Source organism: Homo sapiens, chromosome X (genome assembly GCF_000001405.40).
Source record: "Homo sapiens chromosome X, GRCh38.p14 Primary Assembly".
NCBI classification, from domain to species: Eukaryota; Metazoa; Chordata; class Mammalia; order Primates; family Hominidae; genus Homo; species Homo sapiens.
In genome coordinates this window covers 2,401,097-2,417,836 of record NC_000023.11, presented here as the reverse complement: position 1 = coordinate 2,417,836, position 16,740 = coordinate 2,401,097, and the positions used below count along the sequence as shown (strand labels likewise).

The 16,740-nt window shown below is 43.7% G+C and overlaps 1 protein-coding gene across 1 annotated transcript in view; it reads left to right on the top strand.

Annotated features, from left to right (window-relative positions):
- The window catches only part of DHRSX (dehydrogenase/reductase X-linked), a 281,471-nt gene that overhangs the window by 83,140 nt on the left and 181,591 nt on the right, over positions 1 to 16,740 (top strand). Inside the window, exon 3 of the mRNA NM_145177.3 lies at positions 9,024 to 9,092. Coding sequence (NP_660160.2) covers positions 9,024 to 9,092 — 69 coding nt within the window. The remainder of the gene's footprint in view (positions 1 to 9,023; positions 9,093 to 16,740) is intronic.

Here is a 16,740-nt window from a genome sequence, read left to right as displayed (position 1 = left end):
TAGAATGTGATGAAATCTTGTTGGATTAGATTAGGATGACTGGTTGAGTTAGATCATTATGAGGTGTGATTTAATTAGGTCTTAATGAAGTCTACTTCAGTAATAGCATGATGAGATCTAGCTGGATCAGATCATGGTGATGTGTGGTTTGGCTAGGTCATGATGAAGTCTAGTTGGGTTAAGACTCAATGAGTTCTAGTTGGGTCAGGTCACATTGACGTCTAGTTGGGTAGGTCATGATGACGTCTAATTGGGTTAGATCATGAGGAGATCTAGTTAGGAAGGTCATGATGAGGCCTAGTGGATAGATCATGATGAGGTCTAGTTGGGTTAGGTCATGATAAGGTCTAGTTGGATTAGGTCATGATAAGGTCCAGCTGGGTTATGTCATCATGAGGTAGTTGAATAGAACACAATAAAGTCCTCTTGGATTAGATCATGATGACAGGTTGAGTTAGATCATGATGATGTGTGGTTTGGTTAGGTCACAGTGAGGTCTAGTTGACTGAGGACTTTGTAGGCACAAAGCAATGAAGACATGTGAGCAAGCTTCTTGTTCATGTGCATGGGAATCTCAAGTGTTACCACTTCATTTAGATGATGTTTACTGAGCATCAGGAGCAGTATATGTCAGCACCAATGTGCCTTTTTTCTTGAGATAAACAGAAAGTAAACACCACATCTGCACCCCACCTGTGTCTCCTATCCCACAGAGCTCCTGATGTCAGTGTTTAATTTTCACTGTGAGTTACAGTTTTGACCCTTCAGGTCAATCCAATCAATTATGCAGTCTTATTTCCCCTGTGTGACTTTGAGGATAATTGGATATATTCTGAGAGAGGCATTTTTTCATTTTGTATGGCAGTTTGATTCAAAGTCAATTAATGAAAAAATATCATTGAACACAATGAATTTTATATTAAATACAAAATAAGAGATGGGAAATTTAACTTCAAAATTTTAATTAAAAATTTATTAATATTTAAAGAATAATCAATTACTTGTAAAATAATTCAGATTATAACCTGGGTCCAACTGAAGCACATTAATATTACTAGACACATATATCAGTTGTTCAAATTCCCATCTGTCCACAAGATCTTAGTTCTCATTGTTTCAAAATATTATTTTGGTGGGGGATCATTTTTTTTCATAATGCTCAATGGACTGTCATCTAAGATGAAAGTGGGGTGGGTAAACTTTTTCTGTAAAGAGACAGATAATAAATGTGTTCATATGTTTCTCTCATAACTATGAGCTCTGCCCTAGTAGTGAGTAACCACCCATAGGTAATACTTAAAACAACAGGAAAGTCTATGTTGCTGTAAAACTTTTTGTACAATATCCAGCTGCAGGCCAGGTTTAGCCGCAGATTGGTGACTCTGGTTTGGGCTCAAAATCTTTTTATTTAGTAAGAGGAAATTATACTGCTTTTTTCCAATATAAGAAATCTCTTGTACAGTCCTCAGGAAGGGTAGATAATGATGAGGTCTAGTTGGGTTATAATGAAGTTTAGTTGGGTTATGATGAAGTCTACTTGGGTTGGTCATGATGAGATCTAGTTGTATTAGATCCTGATGAGATCCAGTTGGGTAAGGTTCTGATGAGGTCTAGTTGATTGGTCATGATGAGACTTAGTTAGGCTATAATGAGGACTAGTTGTGTTGGTCAGGATGAGATCAAGTTGTATTAGGTCATGACGAGATCTAGTTGGGTCAGGTTGTGATGAGATCTGGTTGGTTGGTCATGACGAGATCTAGTTAGGTTATGAGGAGGTCCGGTTGGGTTGGTCATGAGGAGAACTAATTGTATTAGGTCTTGATGAGATCTAGTTGGGTTAGGTTATGATGAGGTCTAGTTGGGTTGGTCATGATGAGAACTAGTTGTATTAGGTCATGATGAGATCTAGTTAGGTTCTGATGAGGTCTAGTTAGATTGGTCATGAGGAGATCTAGTTGTATTAGGTTATGATGTGATCTAATTGGGTGAAGTTATTATGAGGTCTAGTTGGGTTGGTCATGATGAGATCTGGTTGGGTTAGGTTATGATGCGATCTAGTTGGTTGGTCATGATGAGATCTAATTAGGTTATGATGAGGTCTATTTGGGTTGGTTGTGATGAGATCTAGTCATATTCAGTCATGATGAGGTCTAGTTGGGTTAGATTATGATGAGGTTTAGTTGGGTTAGGTCATGATGAGGTCTAGTTGGGTTAGGGTATGAGGAGATTTAATTGAGTTAGGTTATGATGAGGTCTAGTTGGGCTGGTCTTTATGAGATCTAGTTGTATTAGGTCATGATGAGATCTAATTGAATTATATTACGATGATATCTAGTTGGTTGGTCATGATGAGATCTAGTTGTATTAGGTCATGATGTGATGTAGTTGGGGTAAGTTATGATGAGGTCTCATTGAGTTTGTCATGATGAGAGCTAGTTGTACTAGATCATGATGAGTTATAGTTGGGTTAGGTTATGATGAGATCTAGTTGGTTGGTCATGTTGAGATCCAGTTAGGTTATGATGAGGTCCAGATGCGGTGGTCATAATGAAATCTAGTTGTATTAGGTCATGATGAGATCTAGTTGTGGTAGGATATGATGAGGTCTAGTGCATTGGTCATGATGAGATCTAGTTGTATTAGGTTATGATGAGATCTAGTTGGATTAGGTCATGATGAGATCTAGTTGTGGTAGGATATGATGAGGTCTAGTGCATTGGTCATGATGAGATCTAGTTGTATTAGGTTATGATGAGATCTAGTTGGATTAAGTTATAATGGGATCTGTTTGGTTGGTCACGATGTGATCTAGTTAGGTCGTGATGAGTTCTAGTTGGGTAGGTCGTGATGAGATCTAGTTGTCTCATGTCATGATGAGGTCTAGTTGGGTTAGGTTATGATGAAGTCCAGTTTGGTTAGGTCATGATGAGGTCTAGTGGGATTGGTCATTATGAGAATTAGTTGTATTAGGTCATAATGAAATCTAGTTGGCCTAGGCTATGATGAGCTCTGGTAGGTTGTTCATGATGAGATCTACTTGTATTGGGTCATGATGAGACCCAGGTGTGTTAGGTTATGATAAGATCTAGTTCGTTGTCATAATGAGATGTAATTTGTTTATGATGCAGTCTAGTTGTGTTGCTCATGATGGGATCTAGTTGTATTAGGTCATGATGAGACCTAGTTGGGTTAGGTTATGATGAGGTCTAGTTGGTTTGGTTATGATGAAATCTTGTTGGATTATGTCATGAGGAGATCTAGTTGGATGGTCATGATGAGATATAATTAGGTCATGATAAGGTCTAGTTGGGTTGGTCTTGATGAGATATAGTTGTATTAGGTCGTGATGAGGTCTAGTTTGGTTAGGTTATGATGAAGTCTAGTTTGGTTAGGTCATGATGAGTTCTAGTTGGGTTAGGGTATGAGGAGATTTACTTGGATAAGGTTGTGATGAGGTCTATTTGGGTTGGTCATGATGAGATTTTGTTAGGTCATGATGAGGACTAGTTTTGTTGGCCTTGATGAGATGTAGTTGTATTAGGTCATAATGAAGTCTTGTTGAGTTAGGTTATGATGTAGTTAAGTTGGGTTAAGTTATGATGAGGTATAGTTGGGTTGGTCATGATGAGAGTTAGTTAGGTCACGATGAGGTAGTTGGGTTGGTCATGATGAAATCTAGTCATAGTCAGTCATGATTAGTTCTTGTTGGGCTTGTTTATAATGAGATTTAGCTGTGTCAGGTCATGATGAGGTCTAGTTGAGTTGGTCATGATGTGATCTAGTTGTATTAGGTCATGATGAGGTCTAGTTTGGTTAGGTTATGAGGTCTAGTGTCGTTGGTTGTGATGAGATTCAGTTAAGTTATGATGAGGTGTATTTGGGTTGGTCATAAAGATACCTGTTTGTATTAGGTCATGTTGAGGTTTATTTGGGCTAGGTTATAATGAGATTTAGTTGGGTTAGGTCATGATGAGGTCTAGTTGGGTTAGGGTATAATCAGATCTATTTGGGTTAAGTTATGATGAGGTGTATTTTGGTTAGTCCTAATGAGATTTAGTTGGGTTAGAGTATGATGAGGTGTAGTTGCGTTGGTCATCATAAAATCTAGTTTTGTAGGTCACAGGAAGTCTAGTTGGTTAGGTTATCTAAATTGCAACTGTCTTTTAAAAATGACTTGTGCCACATATACTTTGTATTGTCCATGAATAGTACATGTGAAACGTGTAAAATATTTAAACTTGTATTTAATTATCTATTTACTTATTTTAATAGACAAAAACAAGTTACATATTTTTATGGTGTACAAAATGTGGTTTTGATATATGTTTCCATCTGGAATGGCCAATTCAAGCTAATTCACATATCCATTACCTTACATGTTTCTTTTTGTGTGTGTTTTTGGAAACACTTAAAATCTACTCTCTTTGCAATTTTCAAATATTAATTATAGTCACTGTGACTAATTATAGTCAGGTTCAAGATTATAGTCACTAATTTAGTCACCTTAAGTACAATAGATCTCTTGAACTTATACCTTCTGTCAAACTGACATTTGGTGTCATTTGAACAAAATCTCAGCAACCCACCCCCCTAGCACCTGGTAATCACCATAATTCTTTTTCTTTTCTTTCTTTCTTTTTTTTGAGATGGAGTCTCACTCTGTCACCAGGCTGGAGTGCAGTGGCGCAATCTCGGCTCACTGCAACCTCCACCTCCTGGGTTCAAGCGATTCTCCTGCCTCAGCCTCCTGAGTAGCTGGGACTACAGGTGCATGCCACCGTACCCGGCTAATTTTTGTATTTTTAGTAGAGACAGGCTTTTGCCAGGTTGGCCAGGATGGTCTCGATCTCTTGACCTTGTGATCCACCTGCCTTGGCCTCCCAAAGTGCTGGGATTACAGGCATGAGATACCACGCCTGGCCAATAATCATCATAATACTTTTTCTTGTGAGTTCAACTTCTGGAGACTCTACATATGGGTGAGATCATGTGGGATTTGGTTTTATGTGGCTTATTTTACTTAACATGATGTACTCCTGGTTGATCCATGTTGTATCACAGGATAGGGTCCTCTGGTTTTCAAAGACTGAATGGTATTCCATGGTGTAGCTATCCCACATTTTATTTATCTACCCATCCTTAGATGGACACTTAGGTTGGTTTCATATCTTGGCTCTTGTGAATCATGCTGCAACGAACATGGGGGTGTAGATATCTCTATAAGGGGCTGATTTCATTTCCTTTGGATCTATACAGAGGAGTGAGATTGCTAGATCCTATGGTAGGCATAATGATCATTTTTTGAGGAACTCTTAAAAAAAAAAAGGCCACCCCTTTAGACACACCTTAAAATCCAACCTTTCTGGTCAAAGACATTTGAAAAAAATGACGACAACATCAAACTATAGTCTCCTGTCCAAGCACGTTCACTTCCTAAGATGTGAAAAAAACCAGGCCGGGTGCAGTGGCTCATGTCTGTCATCCCAGCACTTTGGGAGGCAAAGGCAAACGGGTCACCCGAGGTCAGGCGTTCAAGACCAGCCTGGCCAACATAGTGAAACCCCATCTCCACTGTTTTCCATAATGGCTATACCAATTTCCATTGCACATATAACATGTAACGCCCTCCCCTGCCCCCCCAAATACAAAGGATGAAGCAGAAGGCAGATGCACTGTGTTTGGGACGTGTGCGGTGTTTCTGCATATGCAGTACTTGCTCAGCAAATGTAGGAACCACTCCAGCAAATGCATATGAGGCCAAATGTCCCACGTCCAGTTCCTTAAAGCAGCTCCCTCCAGGTCTGAGGAGACAATTGCTGAAGGTGACATTGGCCAAAGAAGATACCGCACGTGCCACCTCACCTTCTCCATTCCTCCAGTGTGGTGCTTCTGTCCTATGCCAGCGTTGACGGTGCCACCATGGAAAATGGCCTGCCCATGAAGGTGGTCTTCCCAAATAATCACTTCACCTGGCTTTTTTTGATGCTCCCAGCTTTTTCTGGTCACTTTTGTCTTTCTTGAGAAGGTGGAGGCTCCCATCTTACTTCGTCCCAGCTTCCGGCATGTTTCCCTTTGTTTTTTTTTGTTTTGTTTTGTTTTGTTTTCTTTTTGAGATGGAGTCTCGCTGTGTTGCCCAGGCTGGAGTGCAGTGGCGCAATCTCATCTCACTGCAACCTCTGCCTACTGGGTTCAAGCAATTCTTCTGCCTTAGCCTCCAGAGTAGCTGGGATTACAGGTGCCTGCTACCATGTCTGGCTAACTTTTTTTTTTTTTTTTTTTTTTGGGACAGAGTTGGGCTCTGTCGCCCAGGCTGGAGTGCAGTGGTGTGATCTCAGTTCATGGCAACCTCTGCTTCCCGGGTCCTGGTTCAAGCAATTCTCCTGCCTCCGCTTCCCTAGTAGCTGGGATTACAGGCACACATCACCATGCCCATCTAATTTTTGTGTTTTTAGTAGAGATGGGGTTTCCTCATGTTGGCCAGGCTGGTCTTGAACTCCTGACCTCGTGATCCGCTTGCCTCGGCTTCCCAAATCCCAAAGGGCTGAGATTACAGGCATGAGCCACCGCACCCGGCCGCACCCTTTGATCTTGAGATGGCTGATACGGCAGAGCAGCCCAGCAGTGGATGAGTGCTTACATTTAAAAAGTTCATGGGATTTCATAAATAAGCTCATGAATGTACAAGTCCCCAGTGTAAAGGTTACCTTGACTTTGAATTTTTTTATCCTTTCTTTTTTTGTTTTGTGTTTGATGCATAGGACATTTATAGATGGAATATACCTTTCAGGCTATTTCTTCCTCTCCCTCCCGTCGAAACCCACCTCCCTGAAATGCCTGCTGCCTCCTCAGTGCCAAAGGACTGTCAAAGCAAAAATGTAATAATGGTATCATGTTCTGTTTCTTTAAGGAAGTCAAAGGTGCAAATTACCTTTGCAGCTTCAGTCTTCTGATGTCTGCAACTTTGAATTCCTTCAAGGAAGTGACAATTTAGATATTCCATTTACTCTGCCCCAAAGGATGGACTTTGCACTATTTATCTTAGCCGTCTCCCACTGGAGCCAAAAACATTTCCAACTTCATAAGTTTCACTGCTTCTCCTCTTTTATATATTTTTTCACTCTTTGCTGAAAACATTTTCATTGTTTTTTGAAAAGTGCATTCTAATAGTTAATTTGGGAGCCCATGGCCTTAACACAGAAGAAAGAATACCGAATACAATGATAGGATATCAAACAGCATGGTCTCTTCCTTGTGTTAGAGTGTGTAAATTCAATACGCCGTGTTGACTCAGTATTCAGGAATGCCAAAGAGAGGGATTATTTGGTAATGTATTTTCATGGAGACCCGGGGACGGTGCTGTACTACAGAACACCTCACTGGCCCGGGCTGGGTGCAGGTAGGATGGAGATAGACCGGCCCCACCCCCTTGGTAACTGCTCCTTGCAGATCAGCTGTTTGAAGCTCTCCGGGCACCCAAGACGTTCTTGTTCAAGCCTGTGCGCTTCCCCTGCTAGTTCTCATCTCCCTTCTCTCAACACTTTTTCCGTGACCCTCCCTGAAAGGGAGTTTTGGGCTTGGCTCACCCTGGAAAGCAGCTAATCCCACATGTTGCCAACAGGTTAATGAAGGATGAGGCTGAAGGAGGAAAAATTTGCCAAACTCCTTTCCCCTAAAGAGCCGCCCCTTCAGAAACACCTTAAAATCCAACCTCCCGGGTCAAAGACATTTGAAAAAATGACGAAGACAACATCAAACTATAGTCTCCTGTTCAACGCATGTTCACTTCCTAAGACATTAAAGAAACCAGGCCGGGTGTGGTGGCTCATACCTGTCATCCCAGCACTGTGGAGGCCGAGGCGGGAGGATCACCTGAGATCAGGAGTTCAAGACCAGCCTTGCCAACATGGTGAAACCCCCTCTCTACTAAAGATACGAAAAAATTAGCTGGGCATAGTGGCAGTCACCTCTAATCCCAGCTACTCAGGAGGCTGAGGCAGCAGAATCACTTGAATCAGAGAGGTGGAGGTTGCAGTGAGCTGAGATCGCACCACTGCACTCCAGCCTGGGCAACAGAGCAAGATTCTGTCTCAAAAAAAAAACAAAACAAAAAAACAAAACAAAAAAACCCAATTAACATTCTTTCACCCCGGATTTCCTAGTCTTTATTTTAGCTATAACAAGCAAAACACCTCTTTCCATCCTTCTAAAGGCGTGTTCCTGAAACCTCACTTGGAGAGTTTTACGGAAGTGCAGTGAGAGGAGTAAGAAATCCTGAGCACACAGCCAACTAACGCAGGAACAGAAAACCAAAGACCCCATGTTCTCCTTCATAAGTGGGAGTTGAACAATGAGAACGCATGGACACAGGGAGGGGAACATCCCACACCAGGGCCTGTCGAGGGGTTGAGGGGGCAGGGCAGGGAGAGCATTAGGAGAAATACCTAATGTAGATGATGGGTTGATGGGTGCAGCAAACTGCCATGGCACGTGTATACCTATGTAACCAACCTGCACATTCCGCACATGTGCCCCAGAACTTAAAGTAGAATTAAAAAAAAGAAACAGAAAGAAATCCTGAGCACGTAGTAGGAACCACGGTCTGTGATCACGTGCATCGTGCAGTCTGTGTGTGCACACTGGGATGTTTCCAGCATAAAAGCTCCTTCGAAAATTCGTTTCCATCCTGACATTTTAATGCACATTTTTTATGCTTATGCTATTCTCAGCTCTCACGTGCAAATTACACCAGCAGGTGCCCCGGGTCCCTGTCACTATTGAAAAGTAGAATGTCAAATGCATTTGTACTTTTTGCCAATGCAGGCTAAAGAAAATGACTCTTAAATGGATAGCTTTAGTCTGCCAAAATGGCTGTCAAGTTAGACGCTAGGATAAAGGGAAAGTCCATCAAAGGCACATTTCAGATTTGTGTTATACTTCTCTTAAAACCTCTTTTTTTTTTTGCAGTTAATAGTTTCTGGATAATCCTACAAGTCACCGTATCTTTTTTTTCTTTTTCCTTTTAGCTGGAAATAATGACAGCAAAGCCAAACAAGTTGTAAGCAAAATAAAAGAAGAAACCTTGAACGACAAAGGTACCGAGAGATACTCCAATGGCTTTTTTTTGTTTTTTTTTTTCCTTGGGACAGGTCGTTTGCGTGGTTCATGGCTGAGCTTCAGTCACGTGCCAGGTGGCATTTGGGAGAGATGGCTCTGATTTTTGCACTCTTCTTTTGGGGATTTCTGGCCCCATCCTAGAGCAGGAGATGGTCAAGGCAAGGCGAAGATAGCATCACTCAGCTCTGACATCTGCTAGGAAAGGCATGCAGATGTGCTGGTAGCTTGCACTCTTACTCAAATGTGTGTTCCCCAGGGAACAGGAGCCATTGTCCTTTCCTGTTGACCTCCAGGGCACATGCCAGGAGGTGCCTCTGCTGGTTGGGAGTTCTTGACTTAAGATAAATCAGGCCGGGCGCAGTGGCTCGCGCCTGTAATCCCAGCACTTTGGGAGGCTGAGGCGGGTGGATCACGAGGTCAGGAGTTGGAGACCAGCCTGGCCAACATGGTGAAACCCAATCTCTACTAAAAATACAAAAATTAGCCAGGCATGGTGGCATGTGCCTGTAATCCCAATGACCCAGGAGGCTGAGGCAGGAGAATCGCTTGAATCTGGGACTGCCTGGGAGAGAGAGCAAGACTCCGTCTCAAAAAAAAAAAAGAAAGAAAGAAAAAAAGATAAATCAAACAGGAATATGCTTGCCCTTAAGATTTTCGACCAGGTGCTAGACCAAATTCTGGTGTGCTCTTTCTGTCTGTTCACACTAAGGAAGGTGTGCACACAACTTTCTAATATCCATCTAGATTCTCAATGCTCTGTCCTTTTATTTATTTATTATTTTATTTTTCATTTGTATACAGGTAGGGAGTGCAAGTACAGTTTTGTTAACATGGATGAATGGCGTAGTGGTGAGGTCTGGGCTTTTAGTATAGCTAACACCTGAATCACGTACATTGTACCCGAGAGGTAATTTCTCATCCCTTGCTCCTCTTCCACCTCCCACCCTTCTGAGTCTCCAGTCTCTGTTATTCCACTCTTTCCATGTGGACACATTATTTAGCTCCTGCTTATAAGTAAGAATGTAGGAGGTCGGTCAGGGTGGTAGGAAAAATTGTAGAAGATGCAAACCTTCTTGGGAGGCCAGAAGGTTTTGCAAATGCTCCCGAATAAGATTTGGCTGAAGGCAGCCAGATTCTCTTATCCAGTGCCTGAAAGCTTAGGTTAGATAACGAGGGGATGTAAAGAAACTGATCTAGATAAGTTAGTTTGCTTAGGCCTCAGAACCTGGCCTTTAATCATCCACGCACAGAACTACTCTCTCCCTCTCTCCGGGTTGCGGGGGACGACCATATGAATTGCCCACGAATGTGTTGACTCAAGGCCTTTGTCATTAAATGTATACTAAATAAAGGCCCACAGCAGCAGCTTGTCAAAGCCGTGGCTGCTGACTCTTTAAAACACCCTCCTCAGTGTCTGTGAGTGGCCCCATCCCCTAGCCCACGCTTTCACTGGAAATCTGTGTCTGAGTGCATTTGTTCATCCGTCGCTCAGCCAAAGTCTGCGAGTCGGACCCAGCAAATTGGACTCGACCTAAGAAGAATGGTATTTGACTTTCGGTTTCTGAGTTATGTCCCTTAGGGTAATGGCCTCCAGTTCCATCTGTGTTGCTGCAGGAGATAGGATTTCCTCCTTTTTCATGGCTGCATAGTATTCCATCAGGTATAGATATATATTTTCTTTATGCTTTCGTGTGTTGTTGGACACCTAGGTTGTTTCCATATCTTGGCTCCTGTGAATAGTGCTGCAATGCACATAGGAATGCAGGCATCTCTTTGATACACTGATTTCATTTGCTTTGAGTCTGTGCCTAGCAGTGGAATTGCTGAATTATGTGGTGCTTTTATTTTTAATGATTTGAGGAACTTCTGTACTGTTTTTCATAGTGACTGTACTAATTGACATTCCCACCAGTGGTGTACAAGGGCCCCCTTTTCTCTACACCCTCCCCAACACTTGTAATTAACTGTAGAAATCATCATTCTGGCCAGCGTGGTGGCTGGCACCTGTAATCCCAGCACTTTGGGAGGCCGAGGCGGGTGGATCACCTGAGGTCAGGAGTTCGAGACCAGCCTGGCTAACATGGTGAAACCTCGAGTCTACTAAAAATACAAAAATTAGCCGAGCGTGGTGGCAGGGGCCTGTAACCCCAGCTACTCAGGAGGCTGAGGCAGGAGAATTGCTTGAACCTGGGAGTTGGAGGTTGCAGTGAGCTGAGATCACACCTTTGCACTCCAGCCTGGGTGACAGAGCAAGACTCTGTCTCAAAGAAAAAAAAAAACAAAAAACAAAAAAACACAAACAAAAACACCCTTCTGACAATATCCATTTTAGCTGGTGTGAGATAGTAGCTCATGGTGGTTTTCATTTGCATTTCCCTGATGATTAGTGATGTTGAGTACCTTTTCTTTGTTTATTTTTTTGTTTCTTTTTGAGACGGAGTCTCACTCTGTCACCTAGGCTGGAATGCAGTGGTGCGATCTCGGCTCACTGCAACCTCCGGCTCCCAGGTTCAAGCGATTCTTCTGCCTCAGCCTCCTGAGTAGCTGAGATTACAGGCATTGGCGACCATGCCCAGCTAATTTTTGTATTTTTAATAGAGACGGGGTTTCGCCATGTTGGCCAGGCTGGTCTCGAACTCCTGACCTCGTGATCCGTTCGCCTCAGCCTCCCAAAGTGTTGGGATTACAGGCGTGAGCCACTGCACCCGGCCGACTACCTTTTCCTATAAGCACCTTTTCATATACCTGTTGGCCATCCAAATGCTAAGTGCTTTTCTCGGCCATGTTTATGTGTGGTACCTTATTTTTTTTTTTTTTTTAAATGCACATCCCTTCCTTGGCTGTTTGAATTTGAGATGGTGTTTTGAGAATTCCCCCAAGTGGGGGATGGGTGTATTTTGATTCTTTATTTGTTTGTTTGTTTTTTGATACAGGGTCTCACTCTGTTGCCCAGGCTGGAGTACAGTGGTGTTATCTCGGCTCACTGCAACCTCCGCCTCCCAGGCCCAAGTGTTTCTCCTGCCTCAGCCTCCCCAGTAGCTGGGAATACAGGTGTGCAGCACCACACCCAGCTACTCTTTGTAGAGTTGGGGTTTTGCCTTGTTGCCCAGGTTCATCTTGAACTACTGGGTTCAAGCGGTCCATTCACCTCGGCCTCCCAAAGTGCTGGGATTATAGGTGTGAGCCACTGTGCCTGGCCTATTTTGATGATGATGACGATTATTATTAATATTTTGAGACAGAGTCTCACTCTATCACCCAGGCTGGAGTGCAGCAATGTGATCTCGGCTCACTGCAACCTCTGTGGCCCGGGTTCAAGCGATTCTCCTGCCTCAGCCTCCCGAGTAGCTGGGATTACAGGCGCCCACCCACCAAGCCCGGCTAATTTTTGTATTTTTAGTAGAGACGGGGTTTCACCATCTTGGCCAGGCTGGTCTTGAACTCCTGACCTCATGATCCACCCGCCTCAGCCTCCCAAAGTGCTGAGATGACCGGTGTGAGCCACCGCGCCCGGCCTTGATTCTTTTTAAAGCCATGAGAGTGAAATGAACGCTACACAGAGCTGAGCCTGGTCACTGCCTATGCCCCTATCTCCTCCTTTCTACCCTAAGCTGCTGTGAAACACCTTGTTATTACCTCTGCCAAGGGCTGGGGTATGTTGAAATTTCATAGCCGGCATTGCAGGATCCCTGTGATTTTCAGGAACACACTCCCACAGGGGCTCCCGCTCAGCCAGAGCCAAGCCCAGTGTACAATGTCACAGAGTGGCAGCAGCCTGGCCAGATCTTTTCTCCTCATTAGGATCTGCCTTGGGGCAAAAGGATTGGTTTCTGTGTAGAGGGATAATTAAGGAATTAGAGACACCGAGGGGTTGAGGAGGAATTATTTAATTATTTATTTGTACCGACCCCGTCGGATTAACATTTAAAGGACCGAGTTTTGAACAAAGAGTTTGGTTATTTTTTAAGTATTTTCTGGGGCGGGGGGAGCTCTGTGTAGGGGGAAGTATATCATAGAAGTGAGAAACAAAGACAGTTGTTTAATTGACACATGCATTATATTATTTTTTATTTTTTAAGGAATAATATGTTTTATGATTTGAGATTATTTGCCTAGTGACTTTGTAGCTGTATAGCTAGAGAAGCAGAGTTTTTATAATGCTTGGGAAAGGAAGAGACAAGGCTTATTAGCCGCAGAAAAACAGGCAGTTAATTTTTAATGGACTTCAACTCTTTCTCTTCCTCAGGGAGAACTGGGTTTTCTTACATACAACTGAGTTTTTGCTTATACATTTTTAAATTTTTTAAAATTCCTGTTTCATCTGTGACAGGGGGTCCTATTCCCTGCCACCTTGGCCCTTCCTCATTTGCAGCAGGTTTTCAAAGGAGTGGCATTTTCTAACACAATGAATCCAAAAGTGCCTTCTCCGGGCCTGTCACATCAGCATTTCCGGGGAGTAAACAAGAAATGCAGGTGCCCAGGGCCCATCTGTGAATCGGGGCCTCTGGGGGTGGGGGCGGGGCCCTGGAATCTGCATTCTTATGAGGCCGTTAAATGATCCCCACGCACCTTCAAATGGTACACTTGCTGCTGTCCTGAAGGCATTCAACCATCAATCTGGAGCCCAAAGAGAAGTTTCTGGAAACTGACAAGTGAGGCATTCTTTTCTCATGACTTTTTGCTTTTAATCTGAACGGCTTAAAAACTATATATAGTTCCCCAAAATTCACATATGTGATCCACCTAACCAAAATGACAGCCAAGAAACAATGATTTATAATCACCAACTTAATTTTATTAGATTCTGAAAATGTTTCAGATTTAGACAACATGAATTTTGACCAATAATTTTTTTTTTTTTTTTTTGAGACAGAGTTTCACTCTTGTTGCCCACGTTAGAATGCAGTGGTGTGATCTCGGCTCACTGCAACCTCCGCCTCCCGGGTTCAAGCGATTCTCCTGCCTCAGCCTCCCGAGTAACTGGGATCACAGACACCCACCACCAGGCCCGGCTAATTTTTTGTATTTTTAGTAGAGATGGGGTTTCACCGTGTTAGCCAGGCTTGTCTCAAACTCTTGACCTCAGATATCCACCCACCTCAGCCTCCCAAATTGCTGGGATTACAGGCGTGAGCCACTGCATCTGACCACAATAACAAATCATTGCTGTTTTCTTGGAAAAGTTTGTGTAGGATATTCGATCATCAGTTTTTAAAGTGCAGTGTTTTGTGGACAAGTAGCATGACGAATACATGATTTGTCCCCACCATTAAAAAATGTTAGTTTACTTGTGGCATATAAATACCGATGGCCTTTAAGCCAATCTTACAGAAAAGAAGAAAAGAATCGTTTGCACTTTCTGTGGCTGTTTAAAAGCTTTACCATCTTGTAAGAGGGTGGGAAGATGGGGTGTGCCGTGGAGATGGTTAATGGGCACAAAAATATACTTTAGATAGAATGAGTAAGGTCTCGTATTTGATAGCACAAAAGGGTGACTACAGTCAACAATCCTTCATGGTCCATTTAAAAATAACTAAAAGTTGCTGGACATGGTGGCTCACCCCTGAATCCCAGCACTTTGGAAAGCCGAGGCAGGTGGATGACTTGAGGTCAGGAGTTCGAGACCAGCCTGGCCAACATGGTGAAACCCCGTCTCTACTAAAAACACAAAAATTAGCCGGGCGTGGTGGTGCACACCTGTAGTCCCAGCTACTTGGGAGGCTGAAGCAGGAGAATTGCTTGAATCTGGGAGGCGGAGGTTGCTGTGAGCTGAGATTGTGCCACCGCACTCCAACCTGGACTACAGAGACTCCATCTCAAAAAAAAAAAAAAAAAAAAAGAAACCAATTAAAGGTGTAATTGGAATGTTAGTGACACAAACAAGTGATGAATGCTCGAGGGGATGGATACCCTATTTGCCCTGATGTGAGTATTACACATTGCATGCCTGTATCAAAATACCTCATTATCCCATAAATATATACACCTACTATGTGTGCATGCAATTTTTTTTTTTAAAAGAAAAAAGTTTAAAATCTGAACAGGTTTGGACATTCATCAGTGGTGGCCCTGGTATGTCCACTGCTGGGGGACTCTCCAGTCCTTGATAGATGATGCTGAGGCCCAGCTGGGTGGGGACATTTCGGCTGTGGCCATTGAGCCTTTACCTCGACTGAGTCTGCCTCCAGGCTCAGGAGCCCCCAGATCCGTGGTCCAGCCACACGGCAGGGTCTGCCCTCTGCCTGTGAGTGGTATCTGCTGCCCACAACATCTTATGGACGACCACAGCTCCTACAGGCATCCCTTCCCTCCTCAGCTGAGACCTGGGCACACCTCCACCAAACCCGTACGAACCTTGCTCTAAATTGTGCTTCTCTCTGGACTGGCCTGCACCTGCTGGAACTCTGATTCTTGTCCCCACAACCTCCAGTTGCCCAGCGAGGGACAGAGGGAGCTGAATGTGCTGTTTCGTTCTTGCTCTGCTGGGATCCCGGCATCGGGTAACCCCGGTTCAGCCATGTGGATTTATTTTTAAGCAAGTCGGCTCACGTCCTGACTCCAGGAGCACAGATTGCTGTGGAGTGTCAGTCACACAATTATTTCAACATGCTGGGCGCCTGTCTAGCCTGCTTTCCCCTCCTGCCTTTCCTGCTCTCAATTCTCTCTCCTTAGTTCTTGGGTTAATACTCTGGCCTGCGTACTTTGTTGTACTTTCTGTCTTTGAAGTCGTGCTCCTCTGAGATCCCACGCTGGGCAGGGCATGGGAAGCTACGTGCCCACAGAAGGACGGCTAATTGAGCTCTCGGAATTATAAATGCGCGATTGTTTTCAGGAATCTGGGCGAGATGGCTCATTTCCCAAGCTAGGGATTTTCCAGGGAAGCGTTTTCACTCCTTATCATCACTTAGCCATTGTGCCCACACCTTTGTGGCTCCTGGGTAATTATGTGCTGATGAAAGCTGTCTTACTTAGAACAAATAGTCTCATTCACTTACCGAAACTCCTCCAAATATAAATAAATCAAACCCCAGCGGCTCCATGAAAGCAAACACAGAAAGGCATAGCCGTGTTCAAATGAACTCAGATGGGGAGAGATAACCAGTTAAACACTCTTAAAAGCACTGAAGGCAGGCCCATTCTCTTTTGCAGCTCGTACATGCCATGGTGGAACCCCTGTAATCCTAAATCCTAAGAGAGATCAGACTAGACACGTGCTGTGTATCCTCTTTGGAAGGTGCACGGTGTCCTCATTTTCTATAATGATTGTGTAACTTTAATCACAAACAGCATCTTCTGATTCATTTAGCTTCCTGGCTAGGCACGATGGCTCACGCCTGTCATCCCAGCTCTTTGGGAGGCCTAGGCGGGCAGATAGCTTGAGGTCAGGAGTTTGAAACCAGCCTGGCCAACACGGTGAAACCCCATCTCTACTAAAAATATAAATGTTAGTCAGGTATGGTGGCGGGTGCCTGTAATTCCAGCTACTCAGGAGGCTGAGGCAGGAGAATGGCTTGGACCCGGGAGGCGGAGGTTTGCGGTGAGCCGAGATCATGCCACTGCACTCCGGCCTGGGCGACAGAGAAAAACTTCATCTAAAAAAAAAAAAAAAAAAAAGCTTCCCAAATA